General features: G+C 41.8%; 2 protein-coding genes across 13 annotated transcripts in view, besides 1 other annotated feature; both read right to left on the bottom strand.

Annotated features, from left to right (window-relative positions):
• The window catches only part of ARMCX5-GPRASP2 (ARMCX5-GPRASP2 readthrough), a 308717-nt gene that overhangs the window by 148233 nt on the left and 143613 nt on the right, over nt 1-16871 (bottom strand). For 2 of the 5 annotated variants that reach the window (NM_001350268.2, NM_001350269.2), the window contains 2 exons: nt 11921-12015; nt 6292-11133 (listed from right to left, as the gene is read on the bottom strand). The exons of 2 other annotated variants lie outside the window; for them this stretch is intronic. In NM_001350268.2, the coding sequence (NP_001337197.1) occupies nt 9193-10836 (1644 nt within the window). In that variant the 5' untranslated portion in view covers nt 10837-11133; nt 11921-12015 and the 3' untranslated portion in view covers nt 6292-9192. Of the gene's footprint in view, nt 1-6291; nt 11134-11920; nt 12016-16871 lie in introns of those variants that run through there. One more of the 5 variants, NM_001350270.1, reaches the window with a different exon arrangement.
• Nucleotides 6292-16871, bottom strand: part of GPRASP3 (G protein-coupled receptor associated sorting protein family member 3) — a 32798-nt gene continuing 22218 nt past the window's right edge. For 3 of the 8 annotated variants that reach the window (NM_001142524.2, NM_001142525.2, NM_001142526.2), the window contains exons 3-4: nt 11921-12015; nt 6292-11133 (exon numbers count right to left, since the gene is read on the bottom strand). In NM_001142524.2, coding sequence (NP_001135996.1) covers nt 9193-10836 — 1644 coding nt within the window. In that variant the 5' untranslated portion in view covers nt 10837-11133; nt 11921-12015 and the 3' untranslated portion in view covers nt 6292-9192. Of the gene's footprint in view, nt 11134-11920; nt 12016-13657; nt 13854-16871 lie in introns of those variants that run through there. The other 5 variants (NM_001142527.2, NM_001142528.2, NM_001142529.1 and 2 more) reach the window with 4 other exon arrangements.
• Nucleotides 13365-13414: a silencer, noted in NCBI's record as "silent region_20919". NCBI's record gives its function as "represses an Ori minimal core promoter by ATAC-STARR-seq in GM12878 lymphoblastoid cells {active_cell/tissue: GM12878}" and the evidence as "EXISTENCE:reporter gene assay evidence [ECO:0000049][PMID:35858748]".

The following is a 16871-nucleotide window of genomic DNA, read 5'->3' as shown; positions in this document are numbered from 1 at the left end:
ATTACATAGGACATGTCAAATGATAAAAGTATTAAAATTGTATATTAAGATTCCAATATTTATTTATTTTTGGATTAAAATTTTAATTTCTAGCATATACAAAGGTAGAAAAGATAGCTTAATGAACACCCATATGCCCACCAGCAAGTTGCAACATCTAGTAACATTCTGCCATTTTTAAAACTCTCTCCAACCCTTTTGTGTGTGTGTGTTTGTGTGTGTGTGTGTGTGTGTGTGTTTTCTAGAGTATTTTAAAGCAGAGCCCAAACATTGTCTTTTTACTCATAATATTTTCACATGCATCAGAGAAACATTAAAAAATCAAATTATGAGTTAAAGCAAGCTTGTCCAATCTGTGACCCGCAGGCCTCATGTGGCCCAGGATGGCTTTGAATGCTGCCCAACACAAATTTGTAAACTTTCCAATATTTAATAGCAAACAACCCTCTATTGAGCCTATACCTACAAAACATTTGAGAAGCTCACATGTGCAGTTTGAATTGGTTCATTTGAATTGTGAGGTTTGCCTGATCAGTGTAGATGTCCTTTATAGTGTAGAGGAGTGCAATTAAACTCATATCACATTATCATATTTTGTAGATCAGTCCTAAAGAAAGGACCTGCTTGAATTAATTGCATTGTTTCTATCACAGTTTGAAATATCTCAAAGACCATAGATTCCATTCAAGAGATTTTTGTATGACTAAACCTACTGGTGGCAAAGGTAGTTGGCTGTTCAAGGAACTAATGTTTTCTTCTCAACTTCCACTTTAAAGATAGAGAATTGTTTTTATCAATATCCAGTGCCTCATAGCTCATTCGTTCATTCCTTCATTCATGTAATAAACAAACCTTTAGTAGAGGCTAAGCGCTCAGTTTTTCACATTGTAGGATGGTTGTGAAGTTTTATGATGACTATTAATCAATTGTGTCCTTTGATGCTGCAACCATATTGTGTTAAAGGGTGCACAGAATGTCTATTAAAAGGAAAAAAAGAAGAAATGTCTTCCTTAGCTACTTTTTGTTCCAACCATGCTACTTCACAGAATAATCCTGTCTAGGGAGGTCCTACTGAATATAAAGTGACAGACCATTCAGCAACTGATTGCTTCTGTTACTAGTTTAAGATAAAAACACAATTTTATTATTTTCTTTGCTTTTCACAAGACTTATTTGATGCAGTCATTTTTAAAAGAGAGTATGGTGTCTGGATGTAAACCGACTCTTTGCATTGCCAATAATATATGTAACGGCCATCCAAGATCTGCGACTTCCCTTGACCTCCGGAAAACAAAACGTTTCTCATTCCCTTATACATTTTCTTCTTCGAGATGGAGTTGCCCAGGTTGGAGTGCAGTGGCACCATCTTGTCTCACTGCAACCTCCACCTCCTGGGTTCAAGCCGTTCTCCTGCCTCAGCCTCCTGAGTAGCTGGGATTACAGGCACCCACCACCACACTCAGCTAATTTTTGATCATTCCCTTATACACTTTCAAAGTTTGTGTGTCAGATTTCTTAGGTTCTGATTATGAAACACACACTTTCCTATCAGCCTCCCAACACCTTGGGAGATTATTTCCCTTAATCAACTTGATGAGAAAAGGTTCTGGATTGCTTAAATATCTCATTTACTTGGGCGATTACTGTGAATTTTAGCTCATATTTACATCTTCTCATTTACGATAATTTGTAATTCCTAGACTAATATGCGTTCATGAAATTCGACTTTGTATCTTGCCCCAATAATTCACCCCTACAGAAGTTCCATTTATCTCATTTTATTTTGAAAGTCTCACTCTGTTGCCTAGGCTGGAGTGCAGTGGCACGATCTTGGCTCACTGGAACCTCCACCTCCTGGGTTCAAGTGATTCTCGTGCCTCAGCCACCTGAGTGGTTGAGATTACAGTCATGCGCTACCACACCTGGCTAATTTTTGTATTTGTAGTAGAAAGGGGTTTTGCTATGTTGCCAAGCTGGTCTCAAACTCCTGGCCTCAAGTGATCCACCTCAGCCCCCCAAAGTGCTGGGATTACAGGCGTGAGCCACTACACCCGGCCCGAGAAGCTCCATTTAATTGATATTTCCTTTATGGGTATATGCTCAACTTTTTGTGTAACAAATGCTTCCTCATCAGATCTTCTCCTTAAGGTTGTATGTTTTATTACATAAGTAGTATTTGTTTACCAAAGAAGAATTAGAGAAATAAGATAAAAAGATAATAAAACACTCTAGTTCCTCCACTAGCTATAAACCTATTAGATATTTTATATGTCATTCCAGTTTTTCTCTTTTCATGCATTTTCAAAACGAAGATCATATTTTAGTACATATAGATCTCTTCGATTACTTTAAACTAATGCAGAATATCCCATACTACGGAACTACTGTAAGCTATTTAATCTCCTATTTGTGGATATATTGAATATTTCTAGTTTCAAAAATACAAACATTGGTACAATTAACATATTTATACAATATTTGTGCCCACTTTTATGTATTTTTTTCTGTAGGATAAATATCTATTAATTTCTCATTCAAAAATATGAACATTTTAATAGATATTGGTAAATGACCATTAGAAGAGGTTACACCAAATTATTCTCCTTTACCTCCAGCAGTTGATGAGATTGCCTGATTCTCTACAACAGCGGTTTTCAAATTTGACTGCTCATTAGTATTACCTAGGGAACGTTTTAAAAATTATCAAGGCCCAAGTTCCTCTCCAGACCAATTAAATAAGCATCTTTGGGAGCGGATCCTGGGCATGACTAGGTTCTAAAAGCTCTCCAGGTGATTCTAATGCAACCAGGGTTAAGAATCACTGTTCTACACCTTCACCAATGATGAAAAATGTTCTATTCAGACTTAGAAATTCAAATTCTAGAAGTGTTTCCTAGGGGAACCTTTGCACAAATGGACATGTGTACAGTGGAGGCCTATGCTTTTGGCAGACAGAAAATACTGCCAACGAAGTTGAGAACTCTGGCATCAAAATAAAAAAATGATACCTTTGGGACTTGTATTCAAAACTACTATTTACTCTTGCCTGACTGCCATGTGTGTGACACACTTCTTCAAAAATAGAATTTACAAAAGTTTACAAACTTTATTTGAAGGTATTAGCTAGAGCTTTTAATAAATTATGTGAAACCTGAGCACGGGAATCTTTTGAGTAACATGAATAGATTTCCATCAACTAAAAAAATCAGTAGATAGTAATACTGTCAGTGTTAGGAATATGCAGAAGGGCAACTCAACCATTAGATGCAGATTCTTTTTAAAGATGGATGGATGAATGGATATTTATAGAAGTGGTCACAGCAATTTTTAACAGGGGGAACTTTTTTCCAAACACACTCTTACACATAATCCCAAAGCTAAGTTGTTTTGATTGAGAGTAGTGGGAAGCACATAGATCCAACCCACTCAGCTTCCCCTGAACCTCTGTAGTGCCTTTTGAAGCATTTCCTGGGAATCCTAAGACTCCAAGAAAGGCAGTTGAAAACCATGGACCTGGGGTAGAGCATTCCAATCACATGCTAGAAATAGGTTACAGGTGTGCTGAAGATACTGCTTCCCTCAGTGCTCACAGTAGTTGCAGGTGGGAATGGGGCAGCTGGAGTCCTTGAGGCTGATGCCTTTAAGGGGGAACAGATGTGTCTGTTTGTCCCATGCAAATACTCTTTTTCTGAGTGTGTTAGGACATGATGAAGATGAAAAAGCACTGATCTTGAGTACAAAAATATTCAATATATAGCCATGGCTATAAAGCGATGATCCTGGTGTCCTTGTATAACTCACAAACTGGTTCTGAATGTGGTTATAGTGATGGATATGGTAATTATCCTGATTTGATCATTATGCAATGCACCCATGCATTGAAACATCATACTGTACCCATAAATATACACAATTATAATGTGTCAATCATAAATATAAAATTAATACAAACTGGTTCTAAAGGCAATTTCAATGTTCTGAACAATTGCAGCCCAAGTGTATGGCTTTCCAGAAGGCCATTATAAAAGTATTCATGTAGGTCGGGTGCAGTGGCTGACGTCTGTAATCCCAGCACTTTGGGAGGCCGAGGTGGGTGATCACCTAAGGTCAGGAGTTCGAGACCAGCCTGATCAACATGGCAAAACCCCATATCTACTAAAAATACAAAAATTAGCCGGGTGCGGTGGTGAGCATCTGTAATCCCAAGTACTCGGGAGGCCAAGGCAGGAGAATCACCTGAACCCAGGAGGTGGAGGTTGCAGTGAGCCGGGATCATGCCATTGCATTCCAGCCTGGGCCACAGAGTAAGATTCCACCTCAAAAAAAAAAAAAAAAGTATTCGATGTTTGTTAAGGAGTGCAATTTAACTCATATCACATTATCATATTTTGTAGAATCAAGATGGTTCTGATAAAAGATTAATTCTTTGTATCCTTAAACTACAATAGCACAGCTACACATAAAAGCTACATAATAAAGCATGGGCCTAGTGGAGCACACTTTCTCCAGTGCAATTTCCCATTAAAATGACATTTTGTTATCAACAAGGAGAGGGAATAGCACTCTTTCATAATTCAAAGCAGAGCACCTGGAAACACATTATTGCTTTCTGCATTACTCCTCTTTCCTGTTCATTGCTAACATACTAGGCATTTTGTTTGTTCCTAACATTTTAGAGCTTTCCACAAAGGACCTAACTGGGCCTTAGGTTGTAGCCAGTCTCTCCCTCCTACATGGAATATTAACATCTTCTGGAGAAGAAAAATATTTCTACCGAAGTCTTTTATATTTTGCTTTATTTTGGATATCACAACCTGAGAACAGCCTAGTTTTGTTTGCTAAATGAGGTGTTCAACATACACAACAAATAGCTGTTCCAGTTTGCAAGTTTCTGCAGTTCTCTTCTCCTTCAGGGAAACCCTAGCAACGACCATTGAGAGGCACATGGCACCTTTAGGAGAGAGGTGGCCAGAGCTCCTTTCAGAAGAGCTGCTGACACAAGATAGCACACTGTCGAGCTGAAAGTAGGTGTCCAGAGATAAGCTAAAATCTTAAAGCAAAAAGTGCATGTTGCTCTTGAAGACTTTTATCAACTCACAATTAATTATGATACTTCTCTGAAGCTTATTTTATAAAATGACCAACTCTGAAGAAATAGAAGTACATTTATGTTATCTTCATAAAACTGTAACTGGAAAGCATTTTTGCTTGTCTCATTAATAAGCCCCATTTTGTTTTGAGGTGTAGTTGTGTGTACATATCACTTGCAAGTCTAGTCACTATGGCTGTTGCCTGAGTGTTGGTCCATAACAGAGTTCAGGGCCTGAACTCTGTAACAGAATGTCAGCACAGCTAAACTCTTCATTCTTGTTTTAAATCTAGTTCCCAAGGCATAAAGTGATACAACTTTTCTAGTTGTCAGTTGGTGATAATTGCAAGGGCCTCCAGATCACGTGGGAAAGACAGCAATGAGGAGGCATAAAGAAAATAGGCAAAGTGACACAGATGTATATATACTCCTCTCCTCCACCCACTAAGTAATGGGGTCCATCTTCACATACCTACAATTAACCCAATGGAATATAAAGGTGCGATTCAATTGTCACATCCATAATATGTAGTATTATGTAACCTTTAAAATGTTGTTATAAAAATAACAATGAGATGATTTTGTCTATGAGAGTAGCAAAACTTAAAAACAGTGATACCAAGTGTTGGCAAGTATATGAAGAAACAGACATTCATGATCCATGAGATGAGGCTGGTGAGATTCATTTTGAAGGTTAGGCAATATACATAAATATTTGTAAATATCCATGACAAGAAGAAAAGCAGTCTGACATCTAAGAGCTGGCCCAGCACTCACAGCTAGGCCTTGATGTTCTCTCATTGAATTGAAACAATTTCACAGAACATTAACATCAGACCAGGCTACTCCATGAATGTCATGTATCAAGACAAAAGCAAGACTACTCTGTAATCATGTATTAACACAGAAAATCATTGTCCCAATTATAAAAATGATGAAATACCCCCCCCCCCATTCTGGCTAATATTAGTGACTGCTGCTTCTTTACCCATCACAACTTTGGTCTTCCTCACCTATAGAATAAGATTTAAATACCAAATCATAGAATTATTCATGCTTACCAAATCCTGTAAGTGTTCATCATCAGGGAACAGATTAAATAACATGTAATACCACCACATAACAGAATATATGCAGCTGCTAAAAAAGCATGTTGCAGGAAAACTACACAATGCTGCTTAGAGAAATAAAGGAGACTTAAATAAGTGGAGAGAGATTTTATTCATGGGTCGAAGATTCAATATTGTTAGATGTCATTCCAAAGATATGAAAGCCTATGTCCATAAAAACACTTGTACACAAATGCTCATAGCTGCTTTACTTATAATGGCCAAACTCTGAACAGCCCAAATGTCCATCAATAAGTGAATGGATAAATAAACTGTGGTAAAGCCATATGGTGGAATACTACTTGGCAATAAAAAGCAATGAAATAGTGAGACACATGATATGGATGAATCTCAAATAATTACACTAAGTGAAATAAGCCAGATCCCCTCCCGACCAAAGAGTACATGCTATATGAGTCCATTTATACACAATTACAGGAAATGAAAACAATTCTATTTTGTCAGAAAATGTCCCATGGTTGCCTGGGTTAGGGGCACAGGGAGAGAGGGGAGGGAGGGATTACAAAAGGGCATTAAGAAGCTTTGGGGGAGGCTGGGCATGGTGGCTCACGCCTGTAATCCTGGCACTCAGGGAGACCAAGATGGGTAGATCACTTGAGACCAGGAGTTCAAGACCAGCCTGGCCAACATGGTGAAACCCTGTCTCTACTAAAAATACAAAAAATAAAAAAAAAAATTAGTCGGATGTGGTGGCATGCACCTGTAGTCCCAGCTGCTCAGGAGGCTAAGGCACGAGAATCACTTGAACCTGGGAAGCAGAGGTTGCAGTGGGCCGAGATTGCGCCACTGTACTCCAGCCTGGGTGACAGAGCAAGACTCTGTCTCAAAAAAAAAGTAGCTTTGGTGGGTGATGAATGTATTTACAATTTTGATTGTGGTTATGGTTTTGTGTGTATATACATTCCAAAACTGATCACACTGTATACTTTCAACATGCAGCTTAATGTATGGCAATTATATTTCTATAAAGTTATTAGATAAAAAGCATGTGACAGATCTATATAATACTAAATTGAAAAGATAAGTGTTAAGAGGAAAAGGCAAGTCTCAATACTGTGTTCCCATTTTTGCAAAAGAATGTGTATATTGTATGTTATGAGAATATGCAATAAAGGTTTACAACACTATATACCAACTGTTAACATGGGAAAAATATTAAGTGATTCAAAAATATGTTGTAGAGGCATATTTATTGACATGCAAAGATGTTTACAGTATACAGTGGGGGGAAGCAAGTTACAAACATTTACAGTATGATCTTGTTTTAGTTTAACTGGCAGAAAATCTCAAAGCATATAACTCCATATTTTCACACATAGAAACTTTCATATCAGCTTAGACCAGGGATTATAATTCCCACCCTGAGTCTTAGAGAACTCAGCCATAGCCTAAATGTCCTGGGAATGCTTTCTGGTCCATACCAACTTCCAAGAATCACTATCTTGTAGGTTGACACAGCAACCTCTTCTAGCTTTCCTGTTTTGTGTTGTTGAAGCTGCAATTCTGGGTCTAAATTTCTCTAATTAAGTCTATTTTGTAGTGTTAGCTGGCACAAATGCAGAAATGCCCAGGCTTGCCTACTAGTAAAAGATAAAGCCCCTTGGCCTTTCATATGACACATAGGAGAATAAATCATAAATGGTAAAAAAAAAAAAAAAAAAAATTAAGGTATGATTTCGCAAGGAGGAAAAAAGCAATTACCTTTTAAATTCAGGGTATAAAATGATTTCAGCTCTTTGGGAAAGAAAAAATACAAATGGATAGAAAAAGATACAAAGGACATCTAACAAGTTTCCCCTGCTGATGACTCCAAATCTACATCTTACTCATTGAACAAAGTTTTAGGCTCCTACTATTTTCGACACTGCCAGATAAAATCCATCTATTTACCTCAGAATTTTCTCCTGACCTCCAGCCAGATGTAGCCAAATGTCTAATGGACACACGAATTTGGAGGAAGTTAAGAATTGTAACACCTGGCATGGACATGATCCATTGCAAAATTAAACCATTCAAACCAGTCTCTGAGCTTTGAAGGCCCCCCCACCTCAAAATGTCCTTCAGGAAGACTGTAAAGCAGTGTGGTGAGATGGGTTCTGGTGTCAGACAAAACAGCTATGCCACCTTCCTGCTGTGGGAATCTAGGAAAAGGTATTTAACCTCTCTAATTCTCATTGGAGGGTACCCAGAATAATGAGTTCTAATAAAAATATAAGTAACTAACTCACAAGATCACTGTGAGAAGAGGAAAAAAACTTGTAAAATATGGTGCCAACACAGTGTTTGACATAGAATAGGCACTCACAAAACGTTTCCTGCCTTCTCTTTTGTGAGATAACTTTGATGTAAATGAAACAGCCTAACAATTTAAGAGTTATGAATGTAGTAGCAAAATTAAAATTGAACAAATAATACATTTTGTCTGAGATTCTGAGTCATTTCTGTGTTGCGGAACGAGTATCTGATACAGCTGGAACAGGAGAAAAATAGTTTCTCTTACATTAAATAGCCTATAGGAACTCCTGCCTCCTTTATGTAGAGTGCGCACATTTGGCCATGAGCGTGCACGTGCACACACAGAGACACGCACACTCACACACACTCTCTCTCTAGGTACTGTTATCTTTGTGTGTGTGTATGCCTTACTTCTGTAACTAGATTACAAACTCAAGGATATTTTCTTTTTTGCCATTTTAAGCCACAGATACTAATGAACAAGTTAGCTTACTTAAAACGAACTGGTTTGCTATCTTAAGTAAAATGTTAAAAATATGCCAATCTAGACAAGATAAAAATCAAACATTTTCAGCCCAAGGTATAATATTCATTTGATACCCCCAAAATAGTCTAGCTCAAACCTAGAGCCTGTCACAGGTGACTCTGTGTTAAAGATGCAGTGTATAATGTGTACACTGTAATGTACAGCCTGCTAGAGTTTGAAGATGGCTTAAAATGTTCTATCTCTGGCTCATTTTACATTGTTTCAATAATCTCTTTAACTTCCCTGAAAATGGCCATGAGTGTATTATAACTCAAGTGATCAACAACTACAATTGAGCCTTTTCTGATATGCTCCTTTATGTTAATAAATATGGCCACACCACTAACAAGATTGGCTTTTGCCTCTTTCTGGTTAAAGATGAGTTTTAATGCTGCCAATGCCTTCATATTGATCATGTCTCTGGCTGCAGTTGGATTTTCAGACATATTTAAAAGTAGTTTCAAAACAAGATTTCTGGTTTTGCAATTTCCTGAGGACAGCAAATGGAAAAGCTCTGAAAAGTAATTGGCAACAATGTAGTGATGGACAAAATCAGTAGTCAGTTGTCCTAGTATCTTTAATCCAGATTGCTGTCCCGGTGAGTTCAAAGGAAATGACATGGTTTCTTTACACATATGCTTAACATGTAATTCAATTTTGCGTTGTCTTTCATCCCCAGAAGGAGGATTCAGAGTAATTACAGTCTTTTTTCTCATTTCAGGGGAAGGAAAACTGAGCAAGCTTTCAATAAGTGTCACTACACCTACTTCGTTAATAAACTCTTGGGCAAATGGGTGAACATTATGGACACCCATTGCAATCCGTGCTATTTTATGAATAAGAGGATCAGTAGTTGACTTAAGTAAGCTAACAAGTTTTTCAAATTCCTCAGAATCCATATAGCATTCCATTTTGCAAGGACAAGCAAATGGCTTAATCCCATTTACCTCCCTGATCCTGATTTGACGTCTAATCTCATCTATGGTCTGGATGCAGGGGTCAGAATCAAAACGACACTCAGGGATAGGCTGTGAGCATGAGCGAGTGTTCCTAGAAGGGCGGCAAGCTGTTGCCACAGGCAAAGAACAGGCATTTTCTTCAGCGGAGGCCAGAACAATATATGAAGGAGGGCTTGCCTCAGATGGTGCCTGGGATCTAAATCCTAACACAGCTGGAGTTACAGCAGGGGCATTGGGCCAGATAGTTACCTCAGACCAGTCCTTGGGCCTATTTTTTTCATTAATTTCATACACAGGCTGAGGCTTAACTATCCTGCTCACAGGTTTAGGATTAGGGTCAAAACTAGTATCATCTCCTTCCCAAAACCAGTTCCCAATAACATTCTCTTCCTCCTCCTCCTCAGCCCCTGACCTAGGTTTGCAATCGGCCCCAGCCGCAGGTTCCAACTCCTCAGCACAGACCTGGGCACCAATTTCAGGTTTATCATTCTTAGTGCTGAAACTATTACCAGCCTCTTCTCCATTCCAGAACCAGGAATTGATAGTGGCCTCTTCCCCAGCCCAGAACCAGGCATCAGTACCAGCCTCATTTTTACATGTGGAGCTGGTGGACTCATTCCCAGCCTTGGGAGTGAAATCTCCCATGGCTTTGCCCAGAGTCTTAGGCTCTGACAGAGCTCCTTCCTTCGTCTCAGCAACAACCTTGTTCTTAGACACTGCCTTCATCTCTGCTACTGCATCTGTCTTAGACCCTGTCTTGGCTTTTGCTTTGGCCCTGGTCTTGGCTACAGGCCTAACAACACCAGTAGCCTCCCTCTCTGCTCCAGCTTTAGCTTGTATAGCAGCCTTTTTTTCAGTTTTGGCCTGGGCTCTTGTCTTATTCTTAGTCCCAGCCATGGTTGAAGCCCAGTTATATGGCCCTGTCCAGTCTTGGCCTTGGTTCTCAATGTGTCCTAGGTCGAAGTCTTAACACTCTTTCACTGGGTCGGGGAAAAACTTGGTAGCAAGAATTAGAGTCAACTGTCAGTTCTGCAGTCACAAAGTTCTCTTTCCAAACATACAGCCTCTGTCAATGATACAGAGGGCAGAGGCACGCTCGGGCTGGGGGAGAATGATTGTTCCCAAGTGCAGACCTGCTGAAGGTGATGGTCTTCCAACAATCCAAAGCCACCACAGCCACCAGTGGAGATGGACCTGAGGTTGAAGAAAGAAACTGGCTTTGAGTCTTGTCTAACTGTGCTTCTCTATGCAAACAGCCACACAGAAGGACATAGGAGAGTAGAAATGAATTGTGTAGAAGTGGATTAATAAAAAACTCTGCTACTTAATTTTATACCTTGCACACTGCCACTAATGCTCAACAATGTCCTGCCCAAGCACTGTCATTCTTTTACTCTGCATCAAACAGGAACAAAGATGGCAGGTAAGCTTGCTGAGAGTGAGAAAGGCTAAAGGAGTGCCCAGTCTCTTTGGACCCATGCTAGTAGGTCCACCACTAAAATATATACCACTAGACCTCATAGGTGTATTCAGGCAGCACTCACACCAACCTGCACTGATCTAGTGCAATTTTTCCTCCTTCCCTGTTTGCAGTGTTGATATGCCCTATAGTTAACTCATGGGCAGGCCTATGGACAAAAATACAGATGGGATTGGAGTTCTGAGTATTTGGTTGACAGACCTACACTCTAATCTCTAAACCCAATTTCTGCCTTTCCAAATCTAGGGCTTTGGTTATATAACACTTCTGGCCTCCTAGTACTCCTTGTGGCTTATCTTCCCATTTCCTGCCCCAATATCTACCAATTACCTCATAGGCATAATCCTGGCTCACCCCACCCCATCACTTGTACACAAATGTGAGGTCAGAGGTGACTAGAAAGATGGAAGACAGTGGCACCAAGATATGATCTGGTCTAACCCACTTGGCAACAGCCTTTCCATAACCCCAATCAACGGGGGTGCTCACACATAAACCTACCTTGAATCCAAATGAATAGTTTTTGTTCTTTCTTAATTAACTTCCAAGTGAACAGCTACATACAGATCTCTACAGGAACCTAGAAAGAAACAGACCTAAGGATAGAAAGGAAGGCAGAGGAAAGAAAACAGAAGAGACTAAGATGATCTAATGCCTATAACAAGGATTATAACATATGCTTTTGAATATTCAAGGCTATGTTAAATGTCTCCCACCTGTCTGCTCTTCCTCAATGATTCCCTAATCACCCCAAGACCTGCAGCCTGATTACACCTCCTGCCAACTTTGAAGTCAGTCATTTTCCCAATAGAAGTTACAGCTCCTTTCCTGAACCAAAAAAAATGAGGTGCAGAAATAGGTAGTGGAACATAGGCAATTGTACTTACAAGGCAGGCAGGGAACATAATGGAGACTGTTATTTTAATACCATCTGTGCATGTCCTTCCCCTTCCCCATGCATACCTAGATCCTACTTTATTCACCACCTATGTCAGCCTGCTTATACAGCAGGAGTTCTCAGGAGATGCTATCCTTCCCACCAAAGAAGAGTCACGCCCTACAAAAAGAAGGCGGAGCAACTAGCAAAAAATAACCCCAAGAGACTATGTTAACAATGGTAGAAAAATAGCAGGTTAATGGACAGATTCCCAGAATTCGGATTCTAACACCTCCTTTTTGAGAATCAGAAACTAAGTAAATAAAGTCTCCCAACTCTCATAGCTCCTCAGATATCCACCATCAGAAATGCCATGAATTCTTCTGTGGGACTATTTCTGCACCAAAATGAGAGGGTCTGTGAGGAGTGGCTGGAGATGGAGTTTTGGTTTCCAGAACCATAAACTGAAGAAGCAGATTGACTTCAAATGTTCTAAATTGACCCTTCAAAAAGATTACCCCTCTACTCGGAACCCACATTCTCACACATCATTACATTACTTAAAGTGGATCAGCATGTTGAGAAAACAGATCCTGAACAAGAAAGGTGGAAAAATACTACCCTGTTATTTACATGGACCACTGTTGTGAAATTCGACTAAGTCCACACCCTATTTGCTTGCACAAAACTGGATGTGGGGATCTAAATATGTAAGGCAATAAAACAGTGCGGTATTATAAAAGGCGGTTAAACATTTCATTTTAGTGTCTTCATAATTCACCCACTCAAAGTTCCACTTTTGGAGAACCCAACAGACCTATCACGCAGACAGGAGACTTTAACAACCACCTGGAGCCTGTGGGAAGGGACAGCACCCAAGACACGGGGTCCCACAGGCCCCTTTCCGGAATCAGGGCCCCGAGTAGCGAACGCGGCCCACCTCTCGTGGGCTGGGCACAGAGCTGGGACGCCGGCTCCCCCCGGCCTTCCCGGGAGCCCCCCACAATGGCTCCCGCTCCGCCATTTCTCCCGCAGGAGCTCCCCCACAGCCCTTTCCGGGCACAGACACCGTCGAGGGCGGGGCGCCGGCGCCTGCAAAGCTGGCTTGGAGGCGGTCAGCGCGGTTCTCCTCCAGACGATCTGACGGTGCCTCTCAAGCCAGCCCCTCAGCCCTTGGCCTGGCTCGGCCTGCACCGGTCACCGCCTCCCCATCGCCAGGGGTCTCGAGCACTGCGCACCTCTCTCCGGCGACCGGCTCCGACCGGATCGTCTCCTCCTTGCCAGGATGTCAGGGTCGGCGGGGCAGGCTGCCAGCCGGTCCACCCTGGCGGACCACCCCAAGCTCACGCACCCCCACTTGCCTTCAGAGGCCCAGGGCCCAGGTCGTCGACCTCCCCCTCCTCTCCTCAGCTCTCCTCTGGCGGCTCCTCACTTCGATTCTCACCGCTTTCCCCGCTATCAGAATGGCAAAGACGCGTCCCGCCCCCCACGCCTCTGCACCAAACTGGGCAGGGGCTGCGCAGGATGCTGCAAGAACCGCTCTCTCCGCGAGGGTGTCGGGAAGGGGGGCGGAGGGATACGGCGCGAAAGTGCTCGACGCCCCCCTCTCAGGCCCACCTTAGTTCCGACCCAGAGGTGGGCGGGGCCATGACGAGCCCCAGCCTGGGCCTGCGGGTTGGCACCAGGCTGCCTCAGGAGGACCCCCGCGGACCCTAACGTGGCGACCACCACCACCACATTTCTGGCGTTGCTATAATATAGGGACGGGCGGGCGGCTGGGGACCCAGGCAGGGGACAGGATCAGGAGGTTGGGAAGAGCCGCGCTGGAGGGAGCAGCGGATGGATACCAAACCGCCCCTTGGTGTGTCTGCACCCCCGCCCCAACTCCCCAACCAGGGACTGCTGGGTGTCTGCCCCTTCCCTCTCCCCAGCCCTCTCACTCTCCTTCCTGGAAGCTAATGGGAGAGGGGGTGTCAGCAGTGCAGTCTGGGAGGGGTGAGGCGATTTCAGGCCAAACAAGCCTGGGCCTCTAGGGTGGTCCTCTTGTGCGTTTCTTTCCCAGCTTCATGGAGCCACGCAGGGGAGGAAGGTACACCTGCTCTTAAGTGAATTCTGGGGCAGGGGGCTCCCATCAAGGCCTCACCACTGCCCCTCTTCTAACAGAAGGTAGACCTAGACCTCTAACCCTAGGAAACCAACCACTGGTCTGTACCAGACTCATTTCTTTCTGCCACGCCGCTTTTTCTCATTTCAAATGGTGGCTCAGGTTGGCATTGCGCCGTCCCCACAGTTGACCCCAAAAGAGGGCCTTTCCCTGTCAGGACTCGCAGGAGGTCGTAACAGTCCTCTCTCTTTGATGGCACCAGGTAGGGATGGTCTTGGCGCCTCTCCACTGTTCTGGGAGGAGAGGGGACCACTATTCGCGCACTTCCTCGAGGCAGATCCCAGATTCCAGCTGCGCTCCTCAACTCCTCCTTTTCTCCCAGCCTTGCACCCTGCCTAATGCATGCATGTGCTTTTTTCTTCTGAATATATATATATTTTTTTACTCTCCCTTCCAAGCGATGGGGAGTTTGACTTGTTAGACTGGAAGTTTCCTGAATGAAAGTACCCTTTTGGTATTGTTCCCCACTGTATTCTCAGCACATTGTAGACGGTATAGTCAGTCAAGGGTTGAAGGAGGTGAGGGGCTACTGAATCATGACAATTCCATGGTACCCTCTGTGGTTTGCAGATCAATGCTAATTCATAGGTGTGTCTTTGCTGCCTGTAACCCCAGGGCTTAGCCCAGAGTATGCCACCCACAGCTGCTTTCTGTATGGTTTTTCAGTGTTGGAAGGAGCAAGAGAGGAAGACAGAGATTGTGAAGCAATTCCTAAAAGTACCAATACCTGCATTTTAAAATATAGAGCACAAAGAGGCAGAAAAATATGATCATTTTCCTGGTCATTTGTATTCCCTTTGTGGATGCCTCAATCAGACACACCAATATATGTGACTTAGGAGATACTAGTCATACTAAGAGAAACAGGAGTTTCAATTGCATGTCACACTACTTTTTGATGAATCACTCTAGGTTATGATTCTTAACATTTGTGTGTTCTTATTGGCTTTGTCCTTTAAGCTTAATAGTATTAAAACTTTAACACATTGTCTTAAATACGAAGGACATAGGCCTGCAGATTCTGATGTGAGAGTTTTATTTCTCTAGTATAATGCTTTAAGTAAATATATGCAAGAATATTAAAATGCATAATTTCTTTTAATAGCAATTAATTGTAAATAATGTAAATGAAACCACCTTTGCAAAAATTATAACAATGAGAAAATTATGGCAGTGAAGGAGATCTGATCTGGCTAACACCTGTCTTGCCTTTGGCCTTCAAGCTGCCCTTAATTATTCCTGGGCTTATAAGCTAACTTTGGGAGACATTTACTTTACAGTTTAAATGATAATAGCCATTCCCCAAAACTTAACCAAATGCCTTTGTAAAGCTAATAATGAAACCACCAGGCTAGGAGGATGGAGCAGGCTGAGTCCTGCTAAGGTGTAGACATAAAGGATTGACAGCCGTTATTCTGGAGGTTACAACATATGCAACGTCCCCAATTATTCCTGCAGATAACATCACTATTGTAGAACCTAAGATTGGCCTTTTGAGGTATCTTTTCAGATTTCTTGCATGTCTGGCTCCACCTCGACCCACCAACTGCTCCTGAGGCCCCATCCAGAAGTGACTCAGCACATAGGAGGACCATTTCCCACACCCCTATGATTGCACCCCCAACCAATCAGCACCAAGTACCCATTGCCTAGCCACCCCCATGATTTCCCCCAAACTACCTTTGAAAAACCCTAGCCCCCAAATTCTTCAGGAGATTGAGTTAAGACAGGACTCCATCTCCCATTTGGCGTGGCCAGCACCACATCAATTAACCTCTTTCTTTACTGCAATGCCATGGTCTCCTTGAATTGATTTTGTTTGTGCAGCTGGCAGGAAGAACCCATCGGGCGGTTACATAAATGACCATCAATAGGGAAAGGATTAAACTAAGTATGATAAATTTATAAAGTACTATTCTACCCTACTATGATATCAAAAAGAAGTAGCTCTATATATACCAAAATGGAAATAACTCAAAATACAAAGTGAAAATGCAAGTTGTACAATAATACATATGGTTTATGGAAAGTGTGCATTATAAGTATATATCTATTGTGAAAGGAAAATAAATCTCAGGATCCTAAAATCGCTAAGCCAAAGAGAAAAGTAAAGCTGGGAACTGCTTAGGGCAAATCTGCCTCCCATTCTATTCCTAAAAAAGATAGTTAATAAGATTAAAAAAAAAAAAGCTACATACATCCCTCACCATTTTTCCACAAGGAAATTCCCTGTGGACAAAGGACAGACAGAGCTCAAAGTCACCCCTCTGCTCACTGAGATAAATGCATATGTGATTGCCTCCTTTGGAGAGGCTAATCAGAAACTCAAAAGAATACAACCATTTATCTCTTATCTTTCTTTGACCTGGAAGCCCCTTCCCCTCTTGGAGTTGTCCTGCCTTTCTGGACAG

Source organism: Homo sapiens, chromosome X (assembly GCF_000001405.40).
Source record: "Homo sapiens chromosome X, GRCh38.p14 Primary Assembly".
Lineage (NCBI taxonomy): Eukaryota > Metazoa > Chordata > Mammalia > Primates > Hominidae > Homo > Homo sapiens.
Note: the sequence above shows the minus strand (reverse complement) of the source record. Positions and strands in the feature narration are given on the sequence as shown.